A 20,357-nucleotide genomic window follows, 5' to 3' on the forward strand; every position below is an offset into this window, starting at 1 on the left:
CTTTTATACTGTAACTTTCTATCACAGTATTTAAGTTACTAATATTATATCATTTATGCTATTTAAGTTATTTAAGTATTTAAGTTATGGGATATCATGGAGAAGAGTAAACATCACACAAGGACTTTACCTCCTCTTCTGAGGAATGGTTTAGTATGTTTTTAGTTGTATGCTGGATAGTTGTATCATGTTAGGTGGAATTATGATCGTGCTATTGTCTTTATTTGCAGATTAACTACGGTTTAAGGAGATGTGCATGGGTGCCATGTTGACAAGGGGTGGACTTGTGATGGCTAATTTTATGTGTCAACTTGACTATACCATGGGGTGCTAGATTAAACATTATTTTTGGATGTGTCTTTAAGGATGTCTCTCGATAAGATTAGCATTTGAGTTGGTGGCCTTAGTAAAGTAGATTGCCCTCACTAATGTTGGTGGGCATCATCCAATCTGCTGAGAGCCTGAATAGAACTTTCAAAAAGGAGGAGGAAGGAAGAATTTGCCCCTTTTTGCTTCCTGCCTCCCATCTGGAGCTGGGATATTGGTCTTCTCTTGCTCTTTGACTGAGATTTATGCCATCAACTCCCCTGATTCTGAGCCTTCAGACTTGAACTGGAATTACACCACTGGGTTTCTTGGGTCTCCAGATGGCAGATGGCAGATCATGAGACTTCTCAGCTTCCATAATTGCGTGAGCCAATTTCTCAAAATAAGTCTCCCTCTGTCTATATGTCCTACTGGTTCTCTTTTTCTGGAGAATCCTGACTAATACAATTCTCCATTCAAATTTCCTTTTCATGAAAATACTTCTAATTTCTCCAAATTCTTCATGAAACATACCTTATATGACTTTCTTGATCTCTCTCTCTCTCTTTTTTTTTCTTAGAGATGGTCTTACTTTGCTGCCCGGGTTGGAGCTCAGTGGCACAATGACAGCTCACTGCTGCCTCGAACTCCTGGGCTCAAGGATTCCTCCTGCCTTAGCCTCCCAAGTAGCTGGTGATTATAGGCAGGTGTCACTGCGCCCAGATGATTAAAATTTTTTTTTTATCGAGGCAGGGTCTTAACATCTTGCCCAGGCTAGTCTCAAACTCCTGGGCTCAAGCAATCCTCCCACCTCAGCCTCCCAAAAGTTCTGGGATTACAGGTGTGAGCCACAATGTCTGGCCCCTTGATCTCTTTTCGTCTATGTAGCACATGATGTCAAATACTCTACTACAGTGTCTCTGACACGTTTGTATTTTTAGGCCTTATCTTCCCAAGCAGAATTTAATAACCTTAGAGTAAGAGCTTTTTCTCTTATTTCTTCTGTGTGTATTATTATTTCTTTGTGTATTATCACTTCTTCTTCCATTTGTTCATTCATTTATTCACTCATTAAACACATATCTGCTGGGTGCCAATACAATAGTGAACAACATCAGACTGTTCCCTTAACCCTTATGGAGATCACAGTTTAGTTGGGGATGTAGAAATGAATAAAACAGCCATAAAACAAATGCACAATGATAACTGTCAATAATGTTCTGAAGGGAAGATACTTGATGAGAGTCCACAAAGGGGGACCCAACCTAATTCTGAGTGGAGAGGAGGGTGGGCAGGGCAGGAAAGGCTAATCTGGACAAAGTTCTGTTTTAGCTGAAATCTGAAGAATGAGTAGCTTTTCACTAAGTAAGATAGAGAAAAGAAGTGAGGGTGAGAGAAGAGTATTCCAGATAGAAGTTCTGGGTTAAAGAAGGTGGATAGGGCCACAGTATCACACACAGCAAACCTCAAGATACAGGGACTGACCAAATAGACAATACTAACCATTTTCTTCAGTCTCTTCTCTTCTCGTTTTCTTTCAAGCTGTGCCTCCTTTTCTTCTGCCTCCCTTTTCTGACGTTCCTCCTCTTGGGCCTTTAACTGGGCCTGATTGAGATTAGAACCCAGAAATATCAGAACCCTCAATTTGAACAGAAATGTGATCTTTTATGTTTAGGATAGTCAAGCGTCTACCAAAGTGCCTGTCCTATCTCTGGAAGAAGTCTGCATTTTGTGATAAAAGTAGAAAACTCAATCAACCTGTCATCAGTTACGTAACTTAAAAGTTTCTCCAAAAGAATCCTTTTCTACTTGGGAAGGTAAGACTGATCATAAATAAGATCACCAATCTTTCATTAAAAAATGATTACTTTTTAGTTCTTACTGTCATCTGTGAAAAACTAACTCCAAGTTAGAAACAGTTTAGGGGGAAAAAGGTTTTCTTTCATTTCACCAGAAAACCCCCAATTGTTGGAACTGTTTATTTTTTCTTGGTAGTTACAAAATTTACTTTGGATAGTCTAGGTCAAAACTTTGGAAAATAAGAACTATCCCTCTTTGCAAATTCAGTAGGTCAGACATCTACCTATAATACACTAATCTTGGTTATGTGTAAATCTTCTAATCTGCTGACTCTCATCAACTTTCATAACATTTTCTTCCTGCTGTGTTAATGATGTTGATGTTTCTGTCCCCCTTATTTTCCTAAAATTGTCACGGAATTCAGGCCACTAGGCCAAAAAACCATTTCCAAAGTTGATGTAACTCTATTGTCTCAGGAGTTCTGAAAAAGCAAGGTTTCATTTTTTAAGAAAGACCTGGACAAATCCTTCTTTTTTGACTCAGTTTGCATTTTGAATCTATTACCAATTTTTCTTCTTCTTGTTTTTTCTTCTTCTCTGCCAAGATCCGCCTACATTCAGCTCGTTGAATTGCTCTCTCTTCCATAGCTAGAAAATAGTAACAGAGTTCTAATATTTTTTATATTGAAAAAATATGAGGAATACTGCAAGAGAAATGTCTCCATTTCATAGTAAAATTTAGTGTTATTATTAGGGTTTTCTTGTAAGTTGAATGTTCACAATCTCAGAAAATATATAGAGATAAACAGAACTTATATACTCTACAGGTTAAAGACCTATTATCCCATCCTCAGCAATGAGGAACAATTTATAAATTAATTATTTTGTTTACATTTTTATTAAAATAATTGTTTACTGATTTATAATGTGCCTTGATGATACTTTTAGTATATGAAACCCAGAAACCAGAATTCTAATTTGATTATATGTTTGATGAATGCAGAAAACTTTAATTACATCTAACAAGTACTTTGAGAGTAGAATCGTTCCTCAAATCCTATTGAATCTGCTAATTTTTCTTAAGTCACTGTACATATGTCTGTATATATAAGAATAACAACAAACAAACTAAAGTTTGGGGTCACGATGAATATATTTGAATCTAGTTTTAAGGCCTGGATATACAGATGGGCAGGAAATGGAATTGTACCAGGCATTTGGAGAACTGGCATCTGAATGAATTTGAGTGTCAGACTCCTGTTCTTGACAGGCTATTAAATATCGATCCAAAAGAAACAAATGTGCAAGATGGTCTGATAATATGACTCTATAATCAGTTGGGGCTTTCATAGGAAGAGGGGCATGGATGGGAGGAGTATCAAGTTCTGCTCACCTAAGCCAGCCAATAGTTACTTTCAGTTCCTTGTGCCATATTTTAGAGAAAAGAATTTAAGTCCAAGTTTTAAGAATTAATAAACAAAAAACTCACCAGGCTATTTCTTACAGTTATTAAGTGTCTGCTTTGCTGAAAAAGAATGGTAGTGCCACAGATGGCGAGAGTGAAATTGTCTCTAAGAAGGCAGAAATAGACTAGGGGATTAAAGTAAGAGACCCCTAAGAAGCAGAGTCTCTGGTAATATGCCCTTTGCCCATCTTTTCTAGATCTAATCATCAAAAGACTACTTGAAAGTAGACTGGGCTTCTAAAATAGCTAACTCCTTGACCAAACAATAATTTTAAAAAAATAATCATACTTAACTGGGTATTTACTGACCAAGCTTAATGATAGGCAAAGACAGCATAAATTGCTGTCCTGGCAGATAGTTAATGCAAAGACTGCCAATTTCTTCATTAATAGGAATTGACTGCAGGCACAGTGTCTTTCATTTGTAATTACTTCTTGTTAAACCAGCAATCTTGTCACAGGTAAAAAATCAAATTTACAAACCACAATATAATTGTCAAAGTGCCAACCACCACATGCAAACATAAGTACAGTGAAGGACTAAGCATATAGTAAAAACAATTAGCAGATTCACTAGGTGGGTTCTGAAGAATGCTTCTATTCGTATAGTTTAGTTTAAATAAGGGTTTCTGGCCAGGTGCAGTGGTTCATGCCTATAATCCCAACACCTAGGGATGTTGAGGTGGGAGGACTCCTTGAGGCCAGGAGTTTGAGACCAGCCTGGGCAACACAGGAAGACCCTGCCTGTACCAAATAAATAAATGTTTCTAGATGCATCAAAAATGTTATCAAATTAACATATCTGGTTTGTAGGTTTTATTACTAAAATCCTATCAACAAGTTATAATATTATAAAATAATAACTTATCTTGGATTACTGTAAACTGATCAAATTTGAACATTAACAAAGTACAATGACAGGTGTCCTTTATCAGTGTTTGTCCTTGGCAGTTACTCAGAGTTTTCTCATTTGTGTAATTATTCCTTTTTTTTTCACAATCCAAATCTCAAATTACAGAAAAATGATATACCTTTCAGCTATGTTTTTTTGTGTGTGTGTTGGCTGGGAATGCCAAAAAGGTTGGCAAAAGGGGCAGGAAAAAAGTAGTGGGGCTCTCTGGTGTACTCCACTCCTCACATGTCTACCATTCTGAGATTTTTGATGTCAGGTTCTGCCAAGTCTCAAAACCTCAAGAGTTGCCAGAATTCAGTCCCAGTGTACACATTCTACTCTAGGAGAGAAGATAACAACCACCAAGGCCACCACCGAGACAGCCCTGCCTTTTAGTATGGGATGCGGTGTCATCAATTGCTTTGGTTTCCTTCTGAGTCCAGAAAGAGAATTTCGGGAGTCACTTCTGCCTTCAGTCCCAGGGGAAGCAACAGGTGAACTAGGGAAAAAATAAAGGAAAGGAATTTAGACTACTAACCAGTTTCCTTCAAACTCCTTTGACCTGAGATGCTCAAAGCCTTTTACAGACCTTAATGAATCCCTACTCTCTGAGATAACTACATATTATATCCACTCCATAAATATGTGTAATGAGGTATGGAAAGGTTGTGTGATCGGCATGAGTCTACACAGTGAGTCAGGTACTGTGACTCCCATCCTAATGCTTCAAATCCATAGGTGTCACCACATCTTATCCTACCATTTACCACATGCAATGAGTATGTCTCAAGCACAACTGAAACCATCTTACGTGGCTTTTGAGAAACTTGGGCTCTTATTTGAGGCTCAAAGATGTTTTGTTTTATCCCTAACAACTACAAATTTAAGCTAGGAAATAAGCCAGCCCAGGGGCTGCTCCATGTGGACCTGATGTTGTCTGACTTGGCTTCTCAGCACTTAACATAGCTAGAAACCCAGAAATAGAGCAAGACAGCATTTTTCTCTTTAACTGGCATAGTAACAGAGATCCTCAAAGGCAGCCGTGACCCAAATGCTAACAGTATAACTGGATCCTTACAGGCATCCTTGACTATCTGTGCCTGTCATATACTAGTCATAACTAGGCTTCTTTGCTTTGAGAGTGCAAAATCAAGGAAAAGGAACAATCATGGGGCTCAGAAGCAGGGCAAAGAAGCTCAGGAGCCCAAAGTGAAAAACCCCTTAAAATGAGTCCAGCGAGTTCTGATAGAACAGACATACTTCACAAGCATCTGGCAGGTTCTTGGTTCCTCTTCTCTGGGCTTTGACAGCAGGTGGCTCTGTGCTTCTGTGACTGCTAAGGCATGCTCTGCTGCCCACTGAGCCTCTGCCAGCTGCAGGTTTTTCTTCAGCTCGAGAATTGTTTTCTGCTGTTCCTGAAGTTTCTTCTTTTGCTTCTCAATCAGCTGTTGCTGGAAGACATGGCGGTTGTGGAAATGACCCAAGCAAAGCGGTTCTGCTTTCTGGCTGGTAGTTCTGAGTGTCTCGTTGCTGCCAGGCTGTTGAGAGGGTTCAGCACCCAGGGTCTTGTGCTGCTTATTGCCAGGTGCACTCAGAGAGACATTCTGAAGGGAACCCTGCAAGTTGCCTGTTGTTGTTCTTCCCAGGGGAGGACTGAGCATACAACCACTGCTTCCCAAGGGAGGCTTTTCCCACAAAGGGGGCACAGCAGTCTCCTGAGAGAGAGAAACATGTTATAGCTCAACTATTTAAAGGACTGTGCTGATGAAATCCAACATTTATGAGGTCAGTATTGTTTTGTTTAATGGCACAACTGCCATGTATTGCAGGTAAAGGTGGTCTGTGCTCCTGGCCTGGCTACCTCAGAGGCCACCACTCTTAAAACATGCATTGCTGCTCACCATGAAAACTGGGAGAGTGGCCGGCTGTGGTGGCTCATGCCTGTAATCCCAGCACGTTGGGAGGCCGAGATGGGCAGATGACTTAAGGTCAGGAGATTGAGATCAGCCTGGCCAACATGGTGAAACCCTGTCTCTACTAAAGGTACAAAAGTTGGCCAGGCATGGTGGTACGCACCTGTAATCCCAGCTACTCAGGAGGCTGATGCAGGAGAATCGCTTGAACCTGGGAAGTGGAGGTTGCAGTGGGCTGAGATTGTGCTACTGAACTCCAGCCTGGGCAACACAGCGAGACCCTGGCTCAAAAAAAAAGAAAACTGGGAGAGTGGCTACAGCTGTATGAACCATTGCCATGGGCCAGGACATTCGTAATAGCAAAAATCTTCTCTTATAAATTTCTAATTTGGACAGTTCATTTGTGAATTAGGCAAGGTTACTCCAGATATATATATATATATATATATATATATATAAATATATATATTTTATATATAAAAAACATGAATTTAATATGCATAAATTGACTCTGAATTTTAGTGGAAATTTGAAGATGTTGTGGCAAAGGATATATTCTTTCTCGAGAATGTCTGAAAACCAAAGAATATCTTTACAAATGAATAATATATCTCTTTTCTTTCAATGCCTCTCCTGACACTAGTAAATTAATCATATGCCATAGTATAGGATATTTAGTTATTTCAGCATCAAGGTCCCGTTAAAGCCTAGCTAACCGTTTCCAGCTATTCCTGAACTATCTATGGGTGGGAAATATTTGGAAGCTCAGGATCACTGGGCAAATATCTGCATTACAAACTATCTATGGGTGGGAAATATTTGGAAGCTCAGGATCACTGGGCAAATATCTGCATTACATAAGAATAATGTTACCTAATAATATTTTGTATTAGCATATCACTAGTTTTCAAAGCTTTATTACATAAATCCCATTTAATAGACTGAGGTACCATACTCAATTACAAGTTCTATACAGAGGGGAAGGAAACAAGAATTTTTATTTAGAAACAGCTATCTTGGCCAAAATAATGTCATATTAAAGTGTCTCTTCTAGAATGGTTTGAGTCCATGTTCTAAGGTCTAAGTTTTTGATTCTGCCATCTGCAATGGCTTAAAGAGAAAAATGCTATGAGCTATCTAAATATCAGAAGCTTCTTGTTCTAACAGGACCCCATCCTTAGGGACTCAAAAATATTTTTCACGATTATAGAAATGCTTTCCATAGACTCAACTGAAATGAAAGATGTGATATATGGAAACTCTGACATGTTAAACACTTTTAAAAGTAACCTTTTATTTCAGTAATGTCAGTGAACACTTATTCATGAGAACACCTGCTTAAGCAATTTATATCAAGCAGGGTATATGTTTTAGGTTCTTTTAAACTTGGTGGTAATGACACCTTATTAACCTAGCAAGACTGTGTCAAAGCCCTGAGTAAAGCGACAGGGTTTCTTTTGGATCATGGTAACTTTTTAACATGAAAATAAAGAACATGAAGGAAAAGCTTAGTGGTACAGATAGTACTTAATAGAGCAGGAGTGAATGGTCTGACTTAATTAGAGAAAATCACCTATTAGCTAACTGATAATTTTGGAAAAATTCAAGGTACAGTTTGTGTGTTCTTAGTACATGAGTTCCTATGACTGTATAATTAATGAGCATCTAACTAAAGATTTTATATTTTCACTTGGTCATGTTTTGCTGTACACGCTGGAAAAAGATTAGTTTACTTAGTCTCTACAGGGTCTATTGTAGCCCTCTATTATCATTTGCTCCATTTTTAACAATACTGTCCTTTCTTGATAAAGTCTTTTGTTCTTGATTTCAGAGATTTGGAGTCTTTTGTTCCCTTGAGTCTAAATATATATAAATTACTATATATATATTACTATATATATAAATTACTATATATATTACTATATATATAAATTACTATATATATTACTATATATAAATTACTACATATATATAGTAATTTTTCTGTTTTGCACAGGTAAAAAATACTTTCTGCTGACTTTTTTTTTTTTTTCATTTAAGAACAGTGGCACTTTGTAAGGTAAAAGGTTCCATACAGCTCTTTCTTAAGATAGAAGTCTGTCTTGGGTCTCAATGGAGACAAAATTATCTGCCATAAAGGTAGATACATTGCCTAGGGGAAGGGACCAAAATGTTACACATAAGTCCCAACAAGCATCTTCCTGATCCCCCCTTGCTCAGAGAATAAGCTTAAATTAAAACTAGCCTACTTGCTAGCAATAATCAGGGTAAAAAGCAAGGCTGGGGACCCTCTAGTGCACAATTTAATTTCACATGTCTGAATTAAGTACTTAACAGCATTATGTGGAGGGTGGAGGTGAGGGGGTAGAAGCTCTTCTCCACAAGGTTTTCTAAACATGACAAGAGCAGTGATAAAAGAAGAAGCCGACAGGATTGACTTTATAAAAACTAAACAACTGTGTATAATACCAAACACCATAACTAAACCAAAAAGACAAATGACAAAATGGAAAAAATGTTTGCAATATATAATAATAAAAGCATCAATAGTCTTAAAATATAAAGAACTCTTATAAATAAGAAAAAGATATCAAATAGAAAAATGGACAAAGGGCATGAAGAGACAAGTCACTATATATCTGTATCTTACTACATCCATATATAGATATATATACAGTCATGCATTGCTGAATAATGGGGATTTGTTCTGAGAAATAGGTGATTTTGTTGTGTAAACACTGTAGAGTGTACTTACACAAACCAGGATGGTATAGTCTACTGCATCTAGGCTATATGGTATAGCCTATTGCCCCTAGTCTACCAACCAGGGCAGGATGTTACTATACGGAATACTGTAGGCAACTGTAACACATGGGAAGTATTTGCATATCTAAACATAGAAAAGGTACAGTAAAAACAGTATACAAGATAAAAAATGGTACACCTGTATGGGGGCACTTACCATGAATGGCACTTGCAGGACTGGAAGTTGCTCTAGATGAGTGAATGTGAAGGCCTAGGACATTATTATATACTAGTGCAGACTTCATAGACATTGTATACTTAGGCCACACTAAATTTATTAGAATTTTTTTTCTTCAGTGATGAATTAATCCTAGCTTACTGTAACTTTCTATTTTATAAACTTTTAAATTATTAACTTTTTGACTCTTTTATAAAGTAACAGCTTAAAACACAAACATTGCACAGCTGTACAAAAATATTTTCCTTCTTTATATACTTATTCCATAAGCTTTTTTTTCCTGTTTTTAAAGAGGTTGTTTTTTAAAAAAATTTTAAAACACATTTTTGTTAAAAACTAAGATACAAACACACATATTAGCCAAGGACTACACAGGGTCAAGATCATCAAGAAGTCACTAAGCAAGAGGAACTTTTTGGCTCCATTATAATCTTATGGGACCACCACTGTGTATGTGGTCAGTCATTCGCCAAAACATTGCTATGTGGTGCACAAGTGTATATTCAATATAAAAATGTTTAACCTTACTAGTAATCAAAGAGATACAAATGTTGAAGCAATAATAAGATGAAAATAGAACATGCATTCCATTTTTAGGTATTATCCTAAGTAAAGCATTATGGATATGTGCAGATTTAGCTACTAGGATGTTCACTGAAGCATTGTTCACAATGGCGGCAAACTGGAAACAACTTAAATTCCAGTAATACAGGAGCTAAACAAATTCCAGCTTATGGTTCATTACAGAGTATCATGTAGCCATTACAAAATGGTGGCACAGAATACTAGTCCTTAGACAGGGGATATGTATTACGTCCACTTGCGGAACTTAAAAAAAAAGAGCTGCCCCACACCCAAAAATTCTGTTTTAGTAGATGTGATTCTGAGGTATACTCTCAGTTGAGAACTACTATTGCAGAAGTGTATGTAATGACAGAAAATGCTCATGTTATATTGTGAAAACGTAATTTTTTTTTTAGAAGAACAGTAAGTATTAGTATTAAGAAGGAAAAAAAAACATGGCCTTCCTTTTCCTGAATTTTGGCAGACGAGTTCCTCAATGGCCTGACTAAAGAAAATTTAAAAGCTAAATAAAATATTAAGAGATAAATTTGCATATGCTTAAAGACTAGATGGCTATACTTTAACATGTTATTAGTGATTATCTATAGATGACAGAATTATAGGAGTTTTTCTCTGTGATCTTCTATCAAATTGCTACAATTAGTACATATGACTTTTCTTATTAGAAAAAGAAAAATTTTAAATTTCCCCTCTTGTAAGTCACAAACTCATTTAGAAAGGAAATGTCTGATGATCAAAAAGGGGAGTTCAAGAGTTATAGACAGTGCTTTACCTGTCTTTTCCTAAACGAATATTTTACTTAGTTGTTTTAAATGCCCTTTCGATATTAAATCCCTACTAACTTCCAATGATGCCAAAGTTTATATATGATTATAAAAAGAAGATTCAATTCAAGGAAATAAACACTGCCTGAAAGGTAGTGCATTGAGGCAGCTCTAATCTTCTGATAGCCTAGACAAAGCAATCTGACAATGACTGACATACCAGCTATAAAAGCACAAACCTCAAATGCAAGTGTTTACTAAGCAGGAAAAACAACGTACCTGTCCATTTTTTACTGGTGGACCCACCATGGCTGTTGCCTCCTCAGGTAGACTGATGCCTGATAACCCATTGGCACTGAGTTTCCCCAGTGATGCTGCCTGCAGCAGTGCATCCATCTTCTTCCTAGTTTCCTCTTTTGTGAGAGCCAGCTCTCTCTTCAGGAGCTCGGCGCCATGCCAATGCTGCCATTCTGTAAAGCAGTGTCGGAGAACTTGTTTCCGGTTATACTCAGTGGCCAGTTGTTGTTTTCTAAGCAACAAAGCACTTCCATTAAAATAAAGAAGCCATTTACAGTTTGTTAATTGATAATATAAATGAAACATAAGTCCAAAAGGGTTCTAGAAATGCTCCATCTTAGCTCTCGCTTAACATTTTATATTAAGCTAAATGAAATTGCTTTATAAATTCCCCAGTGCAAAGGATCTCCTCATAGAAGGTGTCAGCACTTCAACAGATTACCTTCAAGAAGAAAGAGGAACTGTTCTGTTCTCATGTCACAAGGGCATGTTACATGTTTTTGATTACCATAGTTTCTGAAAGCTTTTGGAGGGGAAAGAGCAAAAAGAAGAGGTACACAAGTAATGACTTTAAAAAGATGAATGCATGAGGGAGACAGAGGTTCAGCTATGCACGAAAATTTTAAAAAGACAGGTTTAGGAGAAAGAGAAAGCAACAAAATTATAACACTTAACAAGTTAAATTGTCAATAATTTAAGTAAAAGGCTTACAAAAATCAAAGTAACACTGAGGGTTGATCTTGTGAAAGAAGAACTGGTCAGGGAAAGGACTGCTAAAGAGAAGGACTCATTTACCAAACCCTTGAACTGAATGCATGTCTGCCCCAAGAAGGTACTTGCTAAGCACTAGATGTGTAAAGGGCAAAGGCAAGGCCCCTGGTCTCATGGAACTCATTTATTTTCTACACCTTCCTAAGGAAGAGCTCACTTTGATTCCTGGAAACTTTATAAATGTTAGGGAATATGACTGAGGGGAGGTTGGGATGTGGTGTTACTGCCAGCCACATTTTCTTCCCAATGGGAATCTGCATTAGGAGATTTGGTGGCAGTCAGTTGAGAATTCAAACATAGAGGTCTGAGATCTATCTATAAGTGAATGGTTATTATCCTGAAGAACTTAGCTGTGAGTGTGGAACTTATTATGTAGTATCAGGGATCAGCTTTGAGGTTCAAAATATACTGTTTAGACACACACTGGATTGTATCTTGGAAAGGTGACTCATATAAGTTCTCCATATCCATTTCTGTTAAACATACATAATGCTTAAGTCTCCTCATGGACTCTTTGGGGTCATATCAAGCAAATCATAAAGTTCTTAACTCAGTGAGTCAGGAGACCATTTCTACAGTTCTTAAATGTTTATACGACTTTTAAACCTTTTTTTGACTGCAACCTACAGTAAGAAAAAATGTCACATTGTGACTCAATATACGTGTGTGTGTGTGTGTGTGTAAAAGTTTCACCAAATAATATTTACCCTTACCACAAGAGATATACTCTGATATTTCTAATCTATTCTATATTTCTTTTAAAAATAAGCAACCCTGCTAACAGCATATTTCATTATATTTAATTGTTTCCTTCTAATGCATTGATAGGTACTCAATAAATATTTAGAAATTCACTCACTGATGGTTTTTGTAATAAAAGTATAATATAGGTGGTAATAAACATTTATGTATGTTTTACTTTTATGAAAACAAATATCTGAGACTGAATAATCTTGAAATAAAAATTTTAGAAGAAATAACAATAAATCAGATAGCAACACAGGTAAGAACAAAGCTCTAAAAATCAGTGTATAAATAGTGAACAAAAAAACCCTGTAACACTTTATTCAAGTGAGTAAAAATCATAAATTTCTACAGGATAGAAGATGTACATTGCTGTGTCTGATTAATGTGAAATTCAATTTCCATCAATCTGCTCTGGAAGGAGGAGTGTGAAATTTACCTGATGTATTAATTTCCTGTTTTTACAGCACAAACAGCCAAAAGCAGCACTGGGGTTTTGACTGTCAAGGAGATTATTTGGACATTATGAAAAGGCAAAGAGAGAAACACTTCTGTAACTATAACAAGACTAAAAAAGTAAGAAAATGAGTAAAAAAATGCATGTTCAATATAGGGCTTAAAGCCCACTCTATAATGGTTGTGCGGGGATATGAAAATGTAGTTGGCCAGGCGCAGTGGCTGATGCCTGTAATCACAGGAATTTGGGAGGCTGAGGTGAGTGGATCACTTGAGCCCAGGAGTTTGAGACTTGGGCCACATAGTGAAACTTCATCTCTACAAAAAATATAAAAATTAGCTGGGCGTGGTGGTGAGTGCCTGTAGTCCCAGCTACTTGGGAGGCTGAAGTGGGAGGATCACCTGAGCCTGGGAAGTGGAAATTGCAGTGAGCCGAGATTGTGCCACTGCACTCCAGCCTGGGCAACAGAGTGAGACCCTGTGTCAAAGAAAAAAAAAAAAGTAAAAAAGAAAAAACAGAAAATGTAGTTACGATATCTGTATTTGTGGTTTGAGGCAGAAAGGCAGAAGCACAGAAGCTAGAGATCCAGAGACAAGGATAGTTCCACTACTGTTTTCTTGTAGCTCACTTCAGCAGAGTGACAATGTTGCATATAAGCCAATTTCTATACTTTCTAAAAGATAACACTAAAACATAAATATTTCTAAAAGCGAAAAATCACTTAAATTTCTTAAACCTTAGTCAGATGCAACTTACTTTGGTATGCTCACCTAAAGAAATGGTTTCAGACATAGGTGCCAGATAATCATAAATGGAAGGGCAGAGTTCCCTTATGAAAAATAGCCTATCCCAATTTCCTTGCAATCTGAAATCAGGGAATTTCTAGCCAGAGTATATAAATTGATCATCACAATGATATATAACTGCATGCAGAGAAAGGCAGGCTCTGCTCATCTAAGAATATAAAATACAAAAGGTTTGAATAGGAATTTAAGTATGAACCTTGCTGCCCAGGATGAACACTCAATGATACTGGGTGACTGGTGCATGTTTTGGAACTTACAAGTCAGAAGAAGAATGCTAACTAGACATGGGACACTGGGACAGCAACTGAGTTTCTAAGCCCCAGATTCATCCTCAAAAACAGTGTCAGTAAGCCCTATTATGCTGCCTATCCTACAAGAGTTTTTTTCCTGAGAATCTAATTCAATTTAAAACAACCCTGAAAATATAGAACAAAATTCACATGTAAGGTAATACCCACTGTCTTAGGACAAGACTACTAGATATCTGCAAAGTGTCTTGAACGTTTTAAAAGCAAATGAAAAATGATACATAATCACAAGCTGGTGATCTGATTGAGTGCTGTAATCTGATGCAGAACATAAAAAAGCAGTGACATGAACAGTTACATTTGGGATGAGCAGGTTTAGCTGGAATAGGAATGAATAAGCTCATGCATTCAATAATGTGCCAGGTACCCCCAGGGACAAAATGGAAGATAAAAACTGTTTTAAAAAGTTTTAAAGTTTTAAAGCGAGCCAGGCTATGAAAGCCTTGTCCTCTGCCTGTGTGACAGAGAGATCAGGAGTTTACCAGGTGAAGATACCATGCGGCTTCTGGCTGCTCACCTGCATACCCACGTGAGCAGAGGGAAGGACAATTGAACATGATTAACAGGCACACTCCGTAAATGATTTCCAAAAGAACACTGAAATCCAGAGTACTGGAAATGAGAATATCTGACGGCCTATTTTCAATTCAGCCTCACTTCTCCTCCCCACCTCCAGGTGAGCCTGGCGGGTTCACCCTGACCTGTTCCTACGCAAGACTGCCTATGTACTAGTTTACTAGTTCTTATCCAAATTAAAAAATGCCCTTTTCTACTTAGCCACATTCTGCCTCTTTCAGAAGGTGGGTCCCATGAATTTCTATTTCTAGAAAGCTCCCCAGGGGATCATAATGGAGGTGGGACCCATGAATTTCTATTTCTAGAAAGCTCTCCAGGGAATCATAATGAAGGATGTCATTCATGTCACTCCTAAGTATTTATCTTATGGTGTCTTCTGTTGCAATTGTGTTAAATATTTGGGTACAATTTTAACTTCCCCATTTAGATAAAAAACTCCTAGAAGGCAATAATGTTTAATATTTTTGTTCCCCCATCCTATCCCCAGGACTTAGGAGAGGATCTAGTATACAGTAAACATCAGTAAAGCTGGTTGACTGAATGAATTTATCCCAATCAAACAGTATGAACGAATGAATGACCAAACGAATGAGATGGTCTGAAGAATGCCAAAGGGCCAGTTTTTTTCACTGGCCTGCCACAGTACCCTCAAATCTCTGTCACTCCCACTTTGGGCACTGTTTCCAGACAGTGCCTGTTAAAATAAAAAAAAAATGTCCCGGGAGGGATAACATATCAAGTGAGAATTACAGTAACAAAGAACGAAGGGCTTGAGGGACAAAGGGAAGAGGTAAAAGCATGTTCCAGGAAAGGCCCAGAGCACTGGTGCAAGAGAAGGCAGGATTAAAGACTGTGGAGGTTAATACAGAGAAGGGCAGAGATGCGGCCCAGGAAAGAATTGAGAAATCTGGGAAGCAGGGCTCAGGAAGGACTGGCAGAAGATTTTTCTAAAATTTTTATTTTAATTTATCCATAGTTATTGGGGTAGAGGTGGTATTCACTTACATGAGTAAGTTTTTAAGTAGTGATTTATGAGATTTTGGTGCAGATGTTGAAAACAAACCATGTTTCTTCCCAATTTTGTCTGGGGCTAGCTGTAAATGCAGACAGAAAGGGGGAGAGGAGGAATGGAAGATCTGGAACCAACTTTCAAAAATGAACACACTAAGGAAATTGAATATACAGTTCAAATTTCAATACCACCATGTCAAATGGTCTAATTTAGTGTGTATACTAGAATTTTGTTGTATTACTAAATGAATCCTCAGGGTTTGGAAATATTTGTTCATGTTGAAGCTGCATCACAATATTGTAAGGACATTTTGTAACATTATTGCCATAACTTCTTTTAAAATAATAAACATGAACAAAAACAGAGTAACCACAATTCCTATTAGGAAAAGCAAGATGCATTTTTAGAAGAAATAAGTGGATGACTCCTTGGACTGCAAGTGAGACTCAGCACAGGCTCAACAAGGAAAGATGGTTGCTAAATTACGAATAAAAAGAGAGAGATTTGTGGTTGCTTCAGAGAGAAAGTGGGAAGAACAGAAAGAAAAGGGGCAAAAGAAAAAAGCCCACAAGTCTGGGCCCTTCATGGCGGACAGGCCAGTGAGCGGAAATCGAGGTGGCAAACACACACGTCAGCGAGGGGAGCTAGAGGATGAGGAAAACAACTGACATTTAAATAACGAACATAATAAGTAATTTCAATGTCCAGGTGAGTGAACCACAGAATTACCTGTGTTTTGTCAATCTGGTCAGAGCTAAGTTTCTATAGTGAGTAACCACGATAATAAATGCTCTCTCCTATCCCTGAGCTGTCTATTTAGAAAGAATGCTTCAAAACCCTATCAAGTTAAATTGCAGGAGAGGAAGCAACTGAGTTCTTCATTTGTTCCCTGACTTGCTTATTATTCAACAAGTATGGATTTGGTGTCCATTGAGGCTGCTCTTTGCTTTGTGACCTTGAGTCATTTACTGTCTCTGGGCCTTACTTTTATCATCTGTAAAATGAGGGGCTGGATCAGATGATCCTTGAGGTGCCTTCCTGCTCTGGGATTTTTTTTGCTCTAAAGCTTTATAGTAAAAAATTATTGTAAGTTAAATGTTTTCTAACTCTGGCAGTTAAAAAATGTTTAGTATCCATTCTAAACATTTAAAAATAGTCACCTGAAAATAATTCACAGATACAAGAAAAAGTTCTGAGAAGATCTTTTTTAAAAAATTGGCACATTATGCTATTATGAAATCCCTATTTAGTGCTTTTATATTTAAAGTTTAATTGGAACGGAATCTTAAATTTTCCAGATTCTCCTTATACAAGTTTCTTCTAGCATGTAAATCTCATAGGCCACTTTTAACTTCAACATCCAAGTGTCCACTCATTTTATGCCTGCACTCACATTGCATCCACTTTACAACCTGTTTCCCTTCTTTATCCAACAAATCCTGCCAGCTATTCCTTTCTGAGTAAGCTATCATCCTAATTCCTTGTATCAATCACTAGGTCCTGAGATTTTAGAAACAAACTATGGGAGAGTTTTCTGTGTTGGCCTCTATTTTTTTCACCAAAGATTTCTCCCAGCATATCATAGGAAAGGGAGATTGACTAGGTCACCCTCCTGCTTAAAAAACCTTCAAGGATTCACTTTTTTTTTTTTTTTTTTTAACCAAAGACTACCTTAACTCCATGTCCTGGCATTCAAGGCCATTCAGAAGTTGACGTACTTGACAACCACATGCTTGATAATCTCCAGCCAATCCAGATGGCTATGCTTCATGCCATCATCCCAGTCTCCCCATCTCTACCTAGGAACATCCTATTGACCATGAAAAGCTCAGATCAAGGCCCATCTTCTTGATAATGCCTTTCCTGGCACTCTTTAGGAATCTCCTTAGCCACAGCTACACATTCTTGCCACGTTCTCAGCAGCAGATGGAGATGTATTATTCAGTTTACAATACTCCTCAACACCTGTACAGTCTCTAGATGTTGTTTTGCCCATTCAACTGTGAGTTCTTTGAGGACAAGGGGCCATGCACCAGTCTCCAGGCCTGATGCTATCACAGGATTGCACAACTTTAAGAGGCACCATGCCCTTCTATGTAACAATACTGACATTTATCATTCATGTGATTTTTCATCCTGAATGAATGACAGAACTGCCAGTAGAGAAGTGATTACTTATAAAAACATGAATTTCTCCCCAACCCCTAAGTAAACAAATGGTTCCTTCACATGGACACAGAGAGGGGAACAGCACACACCAGGGCCTGTTGAGGGGTGGAGGATGAGGGGAGGAAACTTAGAGGATGGGTCAATAGGTGCAGCAAACCACCATGGCATACGTATACCTATATAACAAACCTGCACGTTCTGCACATCATTTATCACTTTTTTTTAGAATAAATAAAGAAAAACAAACAACCAAATGGTTCCTTTTACATCTGTGATTTTGATTCAAGAATGCAAACTTGAACTTGTAAATAATAATAAGAAAATTATTTGATTTTAAGATGATGGAATAAAGAAAGCCTCATTTGAAGGCAGAATTCTGTGTCATTCACAAACATAAGAAGGAGCTGTTATAAAGGTGTCAAAAAACCTCTAAATAAGGTGTGGAACAAAAGATGGTAGAGTGGGAGGAATCACTTTGGCAGGTTGGCCCTCCCAGATGGATGTGCTCTGTGTCCTTAATTAACATTTTATGTGCAGACAGTGATTTCTATGAATGAGAATTATTGGCATATAAGCCAAACACCCTCTTTTGAATTGTAAGATGGTCCAGGGTACAATGCTACTACACCAGAACACAAGGGAAAATCCTAATACTTGCTTCCATTAAAGAAAGAAGATCATGTACAATGTATATTTTATTTTATTTTATTTTATTTTATTTTATTGGAGACAGGATCTCACTATGTTCCCCAGGCTGGTCTTGAACTCCTAGGCTCGAGTGATCCTTCTGCCTTAGCCTTCTGAGTAGCTGGAATTACAGGCACACCCCACTGCTCCCGGCTAGCACATTTAAATAATTTTGTTTACTTATAATTTTCAGTAAAATTTTCTAGTTTGAGATGTAACATAGAAAAACTGTGATTACCATATTTCATAAGTGGTTAAGATTATTCTAGTTGGCATGTGTAAAGTTTATTTGTGGATTCTTCAGGAGGGAAATATCCTAGATAAACATACTAGATTTTCACAATACAAATAATGATACCTGTTTTCTTCCCTAAGATCATTTTCCAAGGCTTGAGTCTCCCGCTCCAACTTCTGGAATCTTGTGTAGTCTCTCCAGGCCCGCAGGACCTTCAGCTGAATCTTCCAGTCAGACAGGGTCCCAGCTTTCCCCAGCTTAATCCTATGATCAAGAATCAGCTTGTGCCAGGCAGCGAAATACCGTTTTTGACACTGCAGCGGAAATATTAGGAAAATCACCACCCATCAGCGCTAGTGTTTCTAATATCTAACACTGACAGCCCTCTCCTCAGATTTTCCCCTCACACTTTTAAAAACAAATACAGGAACTGTTGTCTTAATGGAAAGGAAGAGACAAAGCACAATTCCTTTATGCTAATAATGACAAGGAATATTCAATCATGCAAATGAGGCATTCTCAGCCTCACAACTTAAACTAAAATACTTCATTGTCATTGTAAGCCACCAGTCCCATGGGGAGCTGGAATAAGTCACATCTATGACATGAACCAAGGGGCTTGTTTGAGAAGCTTGAAAACTTGTTTCCAACATGACTCCCCCTGCCAGGTGTCTTGGAGCTCAAAATACCAACCATTTAATTCACTACCGTTTCTGACACACTAGTGTCCACACAAGTGAACGGGGGAGATTCCATGAAGATAGGATGGAGTCTCTGGTCCCTGAGAATAAGACAGCTATAAACAACAAAATCAGCTGGGCTACTACCACTGACCACTTTAGGGCTTTGGTGAGTCTAGAAAGACTAGATGTTCAGGCTGCCTATAATCTTCCACTACATGCACTTGACAGCAAATTAGACAAGGTCTACTGATCCTAAGGATGTCCCCAAAGCAGTACTTAACTCATGATCCTAGTCTAAGAAAATCACTGAGACCTAGTCCTTGCTTATATCTTCTCTCTTTTCAGCAAACTTTACATTCCTTCTAGATCAAATTACTTTCAGCTTTTGGCCTTGACACCAACCATGCCATTTCATAGTTTCCTATGTTCATATTACGTTGGTGCAAAAGTAATTGCGGTTTTTGCCATTGCTTTTCATAACCAAAAACTGCAGTAACTTTTGCACCAACCTAATATTAATTTCTCTGTCCCTCTTTTCTGCCTTCTTTCTGCCTAACTACAGTAGTCACCTCTCTCAGGAAGCCCTCCTGTTACCAATCCCTCTACCCAAATGTAACTGCCCATCCACTGTGTTCCTATAACAATCTATGCTTTCTTCAGCCAAAACACCCAACACACTATATTGTAATCACCAGTTTACTTTTCTCCCCTAGACTGTGAGCCTCCTGAGAGAAGGGAATAGGTCTCATAAATGGGAATGGTAAATCTGACAGTGGCACTGAGTGTGGGGAGCATTAAAACAAAAACTAACCTCATAGAAAGTGACTTTGTGGGAAGTATGGGGGATTTGCCAGTTTCAAGGATTTGCCTGATTTATCAGGCAAATATTTACTGCTTCTTTCTCT

The 20,357-nt window shown here is 37.8% G+C and overlaps 1 protein-coding gene and 1 long non-coding RNA gene across 13 annotated transcripts in view, besides 2 other annotated features; one reads left to right on the plus strand and one right to left on the minus strand.

Moving 5' to 3' along the window:
• Positions 1 to 20,357, minus strand: part of CCDC191 (coiled-coil domain containing 191) — a 92,477-nt gene that overhangs the window by 35,649 nt on the left and 36,471 nt on the right. For 10 of the 12 annotated variants that reach the window (XM_011513052.3, NM_001353767.2, XM_011513054.3 and 7 more), the window contains 6 exon segments: positions 18,893 to 19,083; positions 10,987 to 11,236; positions 5,723 to 6,177; positions 4,852 to 4,961; positions 2,671 to 2,753; positions 1,810 to 1,911 (listed from right to left, as the gene is read on the minus strand). In XM_011513052.3, the coding sequence (XP_011511354.1) occupies positions 1,810 to 1,911; positions 2,671 to 2,753; positions 4,852 to 4,961; positions 5,723 to 6,177; positions 10,987 to 11,236; positions 18,893 to 19,083 (1,191 nt within the window). 12 annotated transcript variants of the gene reach the window in all.
• LOC105374048 (uncharacterized) lies at positions 1,904 to 18,899 on the plus strand. The gene is made up of 3 exons (XR_924347.4): positions 1,904 to 2,123; positions 12,987 to 13,095; positions 16,064 to 18,899. It is a non-coding gene; the product is annotated as an uncharacterized LOC105374048 (long non-coding RNA).
• Positions 5,590 to 5,719: an enhancer, noted in NCBI's record as "active region_20266". NCBI's record gives its function as "activates an Ori minimal core promoter by ATAC-STARR-seq in GM12878 lymphoblastoid cells {active_cell/tissue: GM12878}" and the evidence as "EXISTENCE:reporter gene assay evidence [ECO:0000049][PMID:35858748]".
• Positions 5,950 to 5,999: an enhancer, noted in NCBI's record as "active region_20267". NCBI's record gives its function as "activates an Ori minimal core promoter by ATAC-STARR-seq in GM12878 lymphoblastoid cells {active_cell/tissue: GM12878}" and the evidence as "EXISTENCE:reporter gene assay evidence [ECO:0000049][PMID:35858748]".

The sequence above is a fragment of the Homo sapiens genome, chromosome 3 (assembly GCF_000001405.40).
Source record: "Homo sapiens chromosome 3, GRCh38.p14 Primary Assembly".
Taxonomy (NCBI): domain Eukaryota; kingdom Metazoa; phylum Chordata; class Mammalia; order Primates; family Hominidae; genus Homo; species Homo sapiens.